Raw genomic sequence first — 12,657 nt, 5'->3', positions numbered from 1 at the left:
ACATAAAAGAGAAACAGAATAGCAGTTAAAACAAATGCTAATTCACAAACCAACACATTTCAAAAGTAAAACAGATTAAAAAAACCTAACTGTATACTAATGTAGTTAAATTCAAAAGAAAACATTCTCAATCATATACTGTTCACTGAAATAATGTAGTGAATTGCAGTTCAGATAAAAACTTATAATCATAACTTATATTTACAGTGTATCAGGTTAAAAACAATTTGGTACTGAAGTCTCAGAGACTGAGGGGACCACAAAATTGTCAACAGTTTCTTTATAATACCAATACCAGCTATTTTTAGATACAGGTAACAGTAGTTTGGGGCTTAGAAACTTCCTAATGGCTTTCTCAGAGTAAGAAAGATGAACAATTTTTATATCAGGGACAAATGAATATCATGAGAACGAACATGTACTCAATAATCAATGAGTTTTCTTGAACTGCATAAAATAAACAGGTTCCATGCCCTGCACTCTTTTACCCACAGCATGTAAGAACTCTTATGCACTGTAAATAATCAAGGATTTCTGGCTTGGAGCACTTTCAGATAAAAGAAAAAATGTAGGCACACATGGGAGTAGTACTACGTTCCACTAGTGCCACCCTGCAAAGTTTCAATAAGCAAAAGGGCTAGTTCCCTCAACAAATTACTTCCTTAGGTAAAAGAAAGACAAGTGCTAAACTGCAAGCTATGGCAGTGTAAGTAAGACAGATAACACAGGAAGCAGGGTTTTTTTCAACTGTTAAGTTACAGGGTAGCTCAAATTTCTGCCTTGAAACTCTGTGCATGAATACAGGGATGGCTCAAGCCCATACCAAAAGTTATTTGGAAAGCTAGTGCCCTAAGGCAGAAATAAACACACCATCCCTAGTTAATACACTCTAATGTGTATTAGAGTCATGGGGTTGGGGGTTGGGGGTAATCCACACTCTTCACATGAATTAAATCAAGATCTCTGATGAAGTTTGAGTTCTTTCTCCTTTAATTCTCTCTGACAATTTTATGCACCCAGGGTACAAAACTACTTCATTTTAACATCAATATAACACTTACATCATAGGACTCATTAATGAAAAGGAAAATCCTGTATTTTAATACTATCTGAATGAGGCTTCACAGTTTCTAAAAAATGAAACACACCAATGTGTACATAAAATTGTAAATGCATCAGATTTGGTTATACTAAGAATTTCAGATTCATTGTTGAAAAGAAAAATAATTTCTTTTAATTTAGGCCTAACAAAAAACCCCATAATTTTTATCACAACTCAAACACTAACATGATGCTATATATGGCCTGAGAACTCAAACCCATTAGAACTTCTGATACAAGCTTCCCTACAAGGACCTCTCAGGCTAAACACAGACCCTAACCCAAGTTCAAAGCAAAATTAACAGGATATCCACAAGCAAGTTAAGCCACCTTGTTATACAGGCTTACTGTTGAATGTTTCTTAAAGAATACAGTGGTTTTTAGATGTGAAACACTGCTGCTATAAAATTTAACAATGTTGCACCCGCAGTAGTAAAAAGAATGTTTAAGCAATTTCTCCTTAAAGAAATGGGAGGGGTCTTACTATGTTACCCAGCCTCCCACTCCAGCTTCCCCAATAGATGGGGCTGCAGGTGTGCCTCACTGTCAAGTACTTTAGCAGGTTTAGTAAGCTATGGCACTTCACATTTCTTTGCTGACATCCATGTTTCCATCAATAAATTACAAAGCTCTTTTAATGCTATCATCTTATATTATTAACACCCAACACAATGCCCTGGGAAATAGCAAGCACTTAACACTTCTTAAAACTGACCTCTACCAATTCTTTTAACACTTTTTATTGTTATCTTATTAAAAGAAATGACTCCCAAATATGATATTTTTAATAAATAGTTCTTTAGGAAAAAAAGTACTGCCCCCGTGCTCAAATTGTATTCTTTATACTTGGCAACCTTAAAGTGACTCATATTTTTTTTCCTACTCATTAATGGCATAGGAATGCTCCAATTATTTTGGCTATATCAAAACCTGTTAAGTGATGGTAGGGTACAGATTAAATATGAATTTGAATACTGTGAATAAGAAATATAATTTCATCTCTCTCCACTTCAAATGGCCTCCTTTAGATGGGTTTAAAACAAGTTTTTGATGGTATCTGGGCCCACAATTACATTCTTAACATTTTTTCGATTAAAATTTTTTTTTTTTTGAGATGGAGTTTCACTCTTGTTGCTCAGGCTGGAGCGCAATGGCACGATCTCGGCTCACCGCAACCTCCACCTCCCAGGTTCAAGCGATTCTCCTGCCTCAGCCTCCCAAGTAGCTGGGATTACACGCACACGCCACCACGTCCGGCTAATTTTTCTATTTTTAGCAGAGATGGGGTTTCACCATGTTAGTCAGGCTGGTCTTGAACTCCTGACCTCAGGTGATCCACCCGCCTCAGCCTCCTAATAAAATTTATCTTAATAAGATAATATGTTAATATAAGATAGAGGACTGATGCCTGAAATTAATTTTTGTGCTCTAAAATTCTGTGGAAGTACTGCTTCCAAATACGACACATATTTTACTCCGTATCTCTTTAGAATTAATATAAAGTAGGGAGAAATGAGGAACAAGATAGGGTAAAGTGAGTCCTGCATGCCACTTCTGTCCTCCAACTAAGAGCGGTGGTGTAGTTTTTAACAGTTCTTACGTGTCCTCTGAGGGCTATTTCAGAATCTTCTAGACTACAGAGAGAAAACCTGAGATTTCCGTTGTTCACCTAAGGGTCTGTAGAGAATCTTTTTTACATGAAGGCCCAGATTCTTAACAAGGTATTCATGCCTACTAACGTACGAGAACTTCAGGTTTAGGCCACTGATATCAGCCTTCCAATTTCCACCTTAATAGTGTGCTAAGTGGAGAATTTCGAGCTCATAAATAAAAGTATCGCCAACCCACAAAAGGAGGTGTGTGACAAAGACGACATTAACCTGAAAACTTGACTGCTGACCTCATGTGCCCCCTTCTCACTATGTAAAGAAATATACAATAAAATGGTGCATCAATTAAAACCATTTTTTCTTTAAAGGTGCACTAAACTCTTTCCCTTACCTAATATACTAATTTATACTTATATAACCATTAAAGTATCCATTTTGGGTCACTGAAAAGTTACTAATGAACTTCAATGTATCTCCGTATTACAGCAGCCTTAAGTTACTGCATAACTGTGACATACTTCACTGGGATCATCACCTGATAAGCACTTTGCTGGGCAATCCCACTAAAAGAAAGCATGTGAAGATCTTACAAGTTACTTGGCTAAATCAGCAAACTCCTGATCAAGTGGTAAAGGAGAGTCACAACTTGGGTTCAAGTTCTAGTTCTGACATTGGCAGTATGGCTTGGGCATACAAAAAATACCTATGTAAATTTCAGTTCACGAACTTGTAAAACAGGGTCAAAAACATTTTTTTCCTCCAGGTTTGTAAGGATTAAGGTACATTTAGAAAGCAACTCACACACAATAGATATTCAAACAATGCTGCATTTCCAGTACGCATTTCAGAAACAACCAGAATCAAAATAACAGTTTAACAAAGAGTATATGTGGGGTTCAACTTTCAAATACCTGCAAAGCCATCATGCTGTAGAGACAGTTAGAATATCACCTATTGTAAAGATAGTATTTCTATTTCTCAGTAAAATTACAGGCCAGAAATTCTGGTTTAAAAGAAGGAATAAATAGATGGACTTAACAATGACAATGCAGGAAACCTCCTAGAGCAGGTTGTCATTGAAATGTCTGTCATAATCCCAGAAATGTTTCCCCAAAATAGGCATTCAGAACCGAAATGAAGAGCTTCAGTAGGTGTGGGTGAGGTTCAGTCATACATGTATTTTAAAGCACCTCATATTCTACAGGAGAGAAGTTGTTAAACTTAACCTGTCAACTGGTGACAGGTGCTATAGAAAAAAAGTAGTGTTAAGGAGAATAAAGCAGCAGCAGAGGTGCTTTATTTTACATAGGGTGGTCTGGGAAGTTTTCTCTGATTAAGGTGACATCGGAAAAATAAAAGTAGTTAAGCATGTCACAGATATGTCTAGGGGAAAAAGAGTTACAGGTGCATGTCACTGCCTTCTTGGGGGAAATCATATAGTTTTCCCTCAGTATCCATGGTTTCAGGACTCCCTGCAGATAACAAAATCCACAGATGCTCAAGTCTCTTATATAACATGATGCAGGGAGGGGGAAGAGGTGGAGGAAAAATAAAATCATGGCATATTACCTGTGCACATCCTCTTGCATACTTTAAATCTCGTGATTACTTATAATACCTAATACAATGTAAATAGTTGCTATACTGTACTGTTTAGGGAATGACAAGAAAAAAGTCTGTACATGTTCAGTACAGACGTTCTCTCCTTATATTTTCAATTCACAGTGGGCTGAATCCATGGATGTGGAACCCAGAGATGAAGAAGGCCAACTGTGTAGATAATAGTTACAATCAGGTGACCTGTTCACAACAGATAGAATTTTATGTAATCTGAGCCATTCAATGTTATGAATAAATATTTTTGGAATGATGAACCCTGTGGACCACTGGGAACTATATGCAACTTGTGCCAGTCAGATTAGTGTATTGAAACTTATAGTTAAAAAAACAAAATGCAACATCAAGTAAATAAAAGTAGCCATCTACATTACTGATCAAATGTAGAAGGCCACTAATAACATTTAACTTATTGTAACCTTGTACATTTTAAAAGACAAAATGATCTTGTATGTGGGAAGATAAATGAAGGAGTCAGAGTAAAAATGTGTCAATTTATCTCTCTTTCTCCCAATACTGGGAAGGGAGTCCTTTTAATGCAGAATATCCCAGATCATATAGTTGAGGGAGACATTCTCAAGCACACACTAGCTGTCCTGGTTATGAAGGAACTATTCATTTGATTACAAAACAAAAAGACTCTGGTCCATCACAACTTCCTCTAGTATACTGGTCATGCATTAGGTAAAAGATGAACCAGTATAATGCCTACATCTCTCTTACCTTTTTTCTAAATGCATCATAAAACTGCCTTCAGAGAATAAACAGCATTTAAAAGTCAGCAACCATAACAAAATTTTTAACTTGTAGGATTGGAAAGAATTGTAGTAATTCGAATACCTCAAATATCTCACTAATAAAACTATTAAAATCATCCAATGTATCACTATTTTCTGCTATTTTACTGTTCATTAATTTTACAAGCTTAAAACAGTAAGTCTTGAGAAAACTGAACAACAGCAAAGCATCTATTTTTGTATGTTCATGTTATGAAAGCTATTTGTCTTTCATTACCAAATCAAGTATCTGTCAAAATAACAGGAATAAAGATTTACGTGTTTGTTCCCAGAACTCCACGTCATGCAAACTAAGTAAATCCTCTCTCCACATGTACATTTCCCTAAAAATTAGAAACATACCAATTTGAAAACACCAATAATCTTGTGAAAGTATTTTAAGTGGAAAGTGATGAAATATGCTAATACTTAACAAATATCTCATTATGATAAACTTTTGTCAATTATTTTATTGAGCAGAAAGTTAATGGTTACACGTACCATAACAGTAGATTCTTAGAGGATTCCAATTTCCTGTTTAGTATTTAAGTGACATCATAAAATTCTCAATATATGATATTTACTGATAATGACATTTGAATTGTCACTTCTCCACCAATAAGTCTTCCAAAAAGCACAAGACTATTATTATTATTCCAATTGTCTGTTTTAGTAGTACACTTTATCTTACTTCTTAGCTTCTTTGAACTATTTTTTCTTTACAATTCATCCACTTAATATTCTTGCGATAGAAATAATTTTCAAAATAAAAGTGAGACAAAAAGGATAAAAAGTCATACACTCTAATTCAAATTTCAACATTTATAAAAATCCTTCTCAAGAACAACTGTGAAATATCACAAATCTGTATATTATTCAAACAAAGGAAAATCTCTGGTTTATAACCCGTTTTTTGACATTATACAAATTAAGTAATCAGGCTCACACTAAACTAAGCGTCTGTCAAAAAGAATATGATCTTTGAATTATATTGCTGGGCCAGAACCACATAACAGCAATAACAATAAGTGAACAACCTACAAAGTTTAACACCAAATTAACACAGGCATGAATAATTTTGTTACCTTTCTTCCAAGAACGCAAAGAACAAATACTCAGTTTTTTAAAAAAGGGATTTAACCTATATACGACGTACAGACTGCGGTTAGTCTTGCGTTAAGTCCCCAAAGCCAAACGACCACGTTGGCACAATTTAAGGCGGAAAAAAAAAATTTCCCGAGAATAACAGCCAGTGTTTCCTAATTCCAAAAAGCCCTGGCCCTGCCTCTCTGCATTTTTTTGTAGGCCTGGAACACAACCGTCTTAAGTAAATCCACCAGCCACCAGCCACTCAAGCAGCCTGGCCCGGGGAAGCAGCGACAGGGGCCTAAGGAAATTGTGTGTGTTAGGCCCAGGCTGAGGCGGCGTTAGCAGGAACAGTGATGGTGGACGATACTCACTCCGGCGGGAAGAGGCGCAGTTCGTCGATCTTGCCTAGGAAACCGAAGAGAGTCCGCATCTGCTCAGAGCTAGCGCTCGGGGAGACATTAGTCACCTGGATTACCTCGGTGCCGCCGCCTCCGCCGCCACCACCACCTCCGCCACCGGGCCCGCCGCTGGGGCCCGGACCTGCAGTGCTGGGGACGACGGTAGTGTTGCTCATGGCGCTGCTCGGGTTCTCGCTCCTGCTTTAACACATCAAACACACAACAAACAGTGAGAAGGAGGGGGAAGAGGAACCGGATTGCGGGAGAGAGGAGGGTGTCCGATGCTACAGCCTCTGCTACTGCTGCCGATGCCGCCGCCGCCGCCGCCGTTTCTCCGCCCCGCCGCACGCCGCGGGGGAGGGGATGAGAGCGCGCGAGCTCGAGACCACGAGAAAACAAACGGCCGCCCCACCTCGCCTCCAACCACGACACTAGCGGGCCCGAGCTCCCACAATGCTTTGCGGCGCAGGGCGCGTCAGCGTCGGCTCCACCCCGCGCAGGCCCAGCAGCCGTCGCCTGCAGCCCGAGAAATGAGAGGCACCGGGGTCTAGAGAAAGGTGTTATCCACCTTCGTCTCTCGTTTTATTCTTCTTTTTCTTCTCTCTTTTTTTTTTGGAAGAGCGAAGAGGCACGTATAAACTTTTTTTTTAAAAAAAGCATTCATCCTCCTGCAAAAGTCACTTCAGCAACTCTTCTTATTAAATACTGCTCACGATGTCTTTATATACTGATAATCATCTACAGAGCTATCCGATTACTAATGATATTTAAACCCAAGCTAAGATGCCACCCCACCACCACCAGTATAAAATGTCCCGAAATTTTCAATGTACATGAATTTTGGTAACATTAAATCTGTAACTAATTTGTTTTGTCACTAAAACTTTCAGAAAAGATATATTTTAATATTACACTTATTAATAAGCGTTTTGTACATTCATTCACAATGGATGACTTTTTTTTTTGAGACAGAGTCGCCCTGTCGCCCAGGCTGGAGTGCAGTGGCACCATCTTGGCTCGCTGCAACCTCCACTTCCCCTGTTCAAGCCATTCTCCTACCTAGGCCTCGGGAGTAGCTGGGATTACAGGCGCCTGCCACGACGCCAGGCTAAGTTTTGTATTTTTAGTAGACATGGGGTTTCACCATGTTGGCCAGGCTGGTCTCCAACTCCTGACCTCTGGTGATCCACCCGCCTTGGCCTCCCAAAGTTCTGGGATTACAGGCGCGTGAGCCACTGCACCCAGCCAATTCCACAATAGCTGACTTTGGAAACACAGTTTATAGTACTTAAATATATTCAAGTATATATTTCTAAAGAAAATACTGCAATTTCTCAAGAAAAACTTGTTTCACATACATATTCTTGCTTAAAATAATTTTGAAGCTTTTGACTATTAAAAAAATCCTTGCTTTTGTTTTCAACCTCATCTGAACTATTCTCTCAACTGCATCCAGTGTGTAGTCCAGTGACTTGTAGTGCCCCAAACATGACAAAAACCATAATGTCTCTGTGCCGATACACAAGTTATTAATAACATCACTCATCTTATCTGTCATCTTCTGTAGAGCATTCCTTCCCTCACTGCTATGACTTCTGCAAGCTGTTAGGGCTTCCTCTTTTCTGCTAAGTAACAGAAGATACATGTATTTATTATTGACATGTATCACTCAAAGTTGTGAGCTTCCTGGGTCAGTCCAGAACCTGGCACAATGTCTGTCACACAGTCAGTCCCAATGAATGTGCTGGACACACGCACAAATATACCTTAATGACAATGGCATTTAAGACAGTTCACTAAATAATTCACTTGACCTTGAATGTTTTTAGAGGTAAAAGTTTTAGATGTTTTGGAGGTAAAAACAAACAAACAAACTTGAAGCCTTACAGAGTATCTACATTAGTGAATACCTCTTGGCACAATGCAGTCAAGATGCAATATGTGAGAGATTAGAGCACAAGGTTATTGAGATTTGGGTGTAGAGCCAACTGGCTAAGTGACTTTCACTAGTGCTTATACAGAAAATGGATGGGTTGACTGAATGTGAGCCTCAGCAAAATTACAAATTATGGCCTTCATAGAAATCAACTAACATTAGCTAGAGCCAAGACTTTTCAGAATTTTAAAGAAAAGCATATAGCTGTCCCTCAGTATCTGTGGGGGATTGGTTCCAGGACCCTCCCACAAATACCAGAACCAGAGGATGCTCAAATCCCCTATGTAAAATGGTGTTGTGTAATAAAGCATTTGATCTGTATCCATGGGTTCCATGTATGTGGATTCAACCAACCTGGGACTGAAAATATTTGGAAAAAAATTGATGGTCTAAACATGTACAGACTTTTTATTTCTTGTCTAACAACTATTTACACAGCATTTACATTGTATTATTATTAGTATAGAGATGATTTAAAATATTTGGGAGGATGTGCACAGATTATATACAAACGCTATCCTATTTTACATAAAGAATTTGAGCATCTGTGTATTTTGATATCCTCTGGGGTCCTGGTATCAATTCCCCATGAATACTCACCTCAGGACTGGTACAACTGTATTTGCATATAATGTAAGCACATACCCTCATACTCTTGAGTAACCCTTATCTAAAATGCTTGGGACCATAAGTGTTTTGGATTTTGGATTTTTAAAAAAGATTTTGGAATATCTGCATTATATTCACTGATTTAGCATCCCTAATCCTAACATTTAAAATCTGAAATGCTCCAATGAGCATTTACCTTGTGCCAGTTAGTGCTCAGAAAGTTTCAGATTTTGGAGCATTTTGGATTTTGGTTTGGATTAGGGATACTCAACTTTAATACTGAATACAATGTAAATGCTATGTAAATAGCTTTTATACTGTATTTCTAAAACCTTTTATTTTTAATGTCATTATTTTTTATTTTTTGAATATTTTTGATGGGGGTTGGTTAAACCCAAGTATGTGGAACACATGGTTATGGAGGCTGATTGTATAACTAACTGCACGTCACTCATAAATAAGTATCTGTGAATACAAAGAATGGTAATTAATTTTCTCATTTTGAATCAGACATATGTAACTGCCAGTTACAGATACTTAATAGTTTAACATTTATTGTGAGTGCCTACTATATGCCACGCATGCTAAAATATTTGATGATAAAAGGACAAATAACAGAAGGTCAGGGTTCATGCCTTTTTCTTTTTTTCCTGAAATGTTAACACTTATTTATTCTCTGTGATGGGTACACATAAATCTTTTATATGACTCTACATTTTTCTGTATGTTTGACACATTTCATAATTAAAACTACAAATTCAAACCAAAGAAAAAGGTAGTTGTAATAAAATCCTTTAAACCACCAGAAGCCAATTTATGTACAATAACTTACTGAACAAATAGATGATACTTTGCTATAGAGAAACTAAGTGGCAAAAAGTTTATGCAACTGAAGAGGATTTTAAAATATTTTATTTTCACATCATTTAGCAGCTAACAACAACAACAAAAAATTACTGAATTTAAAGTTAGAAGGCTGGCTTAAAATACCAGCCCTGTTGGCCAGGTACAGTGGCTCATGCCTGTAATCCCAGCACTTTGGGAGGCCAAGGCGGGCGGATCACGAGGTCAGGAGATCAAGACCATCCTGGCTAACATGGTGAAACCCCATCTCTACTGAAAATACAAAAACAAAATTAGCTGGGTGTGGTAGCAGACGCCTGTAGTGCCAGCTACTCGGGAGGCTGAGGCGGGAGAATGGCGTGAACCGAGATCGCGTCCCTGCACTCCAGCCTGGGCAACAGAGCAAGACTCCGTCTCAAAAAACAAAAAACAAAAAACACACACAAAAAACAAACAAAAAAAACCCACCCCTGTCATCAAGCATGTGATTTGAGAAAATTTCACTTCACTTCTAAGAACCTGTGTCAGTTTTTCAGTCAAATGAAGAGTTGAATCATAATTTTGAAGATTCTTGTAGGTCTAATAGATTAAATAATTATGTTAATGTCTGTTTTACATAGGAATAAGACATATACCTGAAGACGAATGACAGATATATTAAAGCAAATAAATATAACCAATCTATGACAGTTTTAAATCACTTCAGATTTATTTAGGCTCACAATTAAACAAGACTATAGAAAATATAGAATCTGGAGACAGGATTCATGCCTGTTTTATTCACTGTATCTACAATATCATTGAGAGGCAGTCAAAAAACTCACAAATTTCTTCAAATATTATGTACGTAAATCTGTTCCAAGGATTTTCCCAGCTGCTGGAAATAGAGTAGGGAAAAGGAAGTGAATGTCCCTGATAACATAAAACTTCAGGTCTAGTATGGCAGACTTTCAATAAAAAAACAACACAGCCAGGCGCGGTGGCTCATGTCTGTAATCCAAGTACTTCGGCAGGCCAAGGCAGGCGGAACACCTGAGGTCGGGAGTTGAGACCAACCTGACCAACATGGAGAAACCCTGCCTCTACTAAAAATACAAAATTAGCCGAGCATGGTGGCACATGCCTGTAATCCCAGCTACTTGGAAGGCTGAGGCAGGAGAATTGCTTGAACCTGGGAGGCGGAGGTTGCAGTGAGCTGAGATTGCACCACTGCACTCCAGCCTGGGCAACAAGAGCGAAACGCCATCTCAAAAAAACAAAAAACAAAAAACAACAACAAAAAAAACACAAAAAACCCCACAAAGATGAAAGGACTAATGTGTTGTGATGAAATGAAATAGGACAGGGGATGGCGGAAAAAGTGTTATCTGCTGAGACCTTACTAAAAGGAAGAAGCAAGACATTTGAATTTCTGGAGGAAGAGTATTCCAGACAGAGGAAATAACAAATTAGAAAGACCCTAAGGATAAGAACAAGTTTGAAGCTTTCAAGAAAAGAAGTCCACTCTTTGTGAAGTGAATGCATTCCAGTTTATACTTCAGAGAGAGACTTAGAAATCTTGTCATGTGGAAAGCAAAGTGAAGGAAGTATGCACAGAGAAGGTTCAATTGGCTCATCTTTGGATGTAAGTAAGGGAAAGCTTCTAGTTATATATAAATGATCATTATTATCAATTTTATTATGAGTTAATGCAACTGGGTATGGTGGCTCATCCCTGTAATCCCAGCAGTTTGGGAGGCAGAGGTGGGTGGATTGCTTGAGCCCAGTTGTTTGAGACCAGCCTGGCAACGCAAAGAAACCCCATCTCTACAAAAAATACAAAAAAGTTAGCTGGGTGTAGTGGTGTGCACCTGTGGTCCCAATTACTTGGGAGGCTGAAGTGGAGGATCACCTGAGCCTGGGAGGTCAAAGCTGCAGTGAGCTGAGATCGTGACACTGTACTCTAGTCTGGGTGACAGAGTGAGACCTTATCTCAAAAAAAAAAAAAAAAGTTAAATAACCTATCATTTGGCCTATAAAGTCACATTATAGAAAAGTGCATGATTTCTGATAGGCTTTTGAAACACAAGAAATAACTTACAGGTTCCCCATAATACTCTGAAGATTCACAGGTAGGACACGTAGGGAACCACTACATTGAAAAAAAAAAATTAACTGGTGCGTGATATTGGCAGGAAAGCATGTCAAATAATATTAGACAATGAGGCTTTATACACATCCGTAAAACAATACTAATCCTCTTAGTCCTAATGAACAAGCTTTAGTTCTTTTCCATCTCAAGCTTCTAAAAAGATCTTTGTATTTAGATGGAAGGTCTTTTAGATAAAGGAGAGCAGACAGGCCACGCACGGTGGCTCACGCCTGTAATCCCATCACTTTGGGAGGCCGAGGTGGGTGGATCACCTGAGGTCGGGGGTTCGAGATGAGCCTGACCAATACGGAGAAACCCCGTCTCTACTAAAAATACAAAATCAGCCGCGCGTGGTGGCGCATGCCTGTAATCCCAGCTACTTGGGAGGCTCCTCGAGGAGGAAGAATTGCTTGAACCTGGGAGGTGGAGGTTGTGGTGACTCAAGATTGTGCCACTGCACTCCAGCCTGGGGTAACAAGAGCGAAATTCCATCTCAAAAGGAAAAAAAAGAGCAGACACAGGTATGCATAATCCCGCTACCCACTGG

The 12,657-nt window shown here is 38.6% G+C and overlaps 1 protein-coding gene across 30 annotated transcripts in view, besides 2 other annotated features; it reads right to left on the bottom strand.

Moving 5' to 3' along the window:
- Positions 1–12,657, bottom strand: part of SRSF11 (serine and arginine rich splicing factor 11) — a 47,357-nt gene that overhangs the window by 24,649 nt on the left and 10,051 nt on the right. For 10 of the 30 annotated variants that reach the window (NR_146810.2, NM_001350612.2, NM_001350614.2 and 7 more), the window contains exon 1: positions 6,565–7,024. Coding sequence is in view for 22 of the 30 variants with exons in the window: in NM_001394405.1 (NP_001381334.1) it covers positions 6,565–6,767 (203 nt within the window). In the remaining 8 variants the exon portion in view is untranslated. Of the gene's footprint in view, positions 1–5,605; positions 12,111–12,657 lie in introns of those variants that run through there. The other 20 variants (XM_047434514.1, XM_047434518.1, XM_047434523.1 and 17 more) reach the window with 9 other exon arrangements.
- Positions 6,585–7,130: an enhancer, noted in NCBI's record as "NANOG-H3K27ac-H3K4me1 hESC enhancer chr1:70686957-70687502 (GRCh37/hg19 assembly coordinates)". NCBI's record gives its function as "activates a minimal SCP1, AML or CMV promoter by ChIP-STARR-seq in primed H9 embryonic stem cells {active_cell/tissue: H9 hESC(primed)}" and the evidence as "EXISTENCE:reporter gene assay evidence [ECO:0000049][PMID:30033119]".
- Positions 6,640–6,689: a silencer, noted in NCBI's record as "silent region_988". NCBI's record gives its function as "represses an Ori minimal core promoter by ATAC-STARR-seq in GM12878 lymphoblastoid cells {active_cell/tissue: GM12878}" and the evidence as "EXISTENCE:reporter gene assay evidence [ECO:0000049][PMID:35858748]".

Source organism: Homo sapiens, chromosome 1, assembly GCF_000001405.40.
Source record: "Homo sapiens chromosome 1, GRCh38.p14 Primary Assembly".
Taxonomy (NCBI): Eukaryota; Metazoa; Chordata; class Mammalia; order Primates; family Hominidae; genus Homo; species Homo sapiens.
The sequence above is the reverse complement of the archived record's forward strand: the minus strand, read 5'-3'. Positions and strand labels throughout refer to the sequence as shown.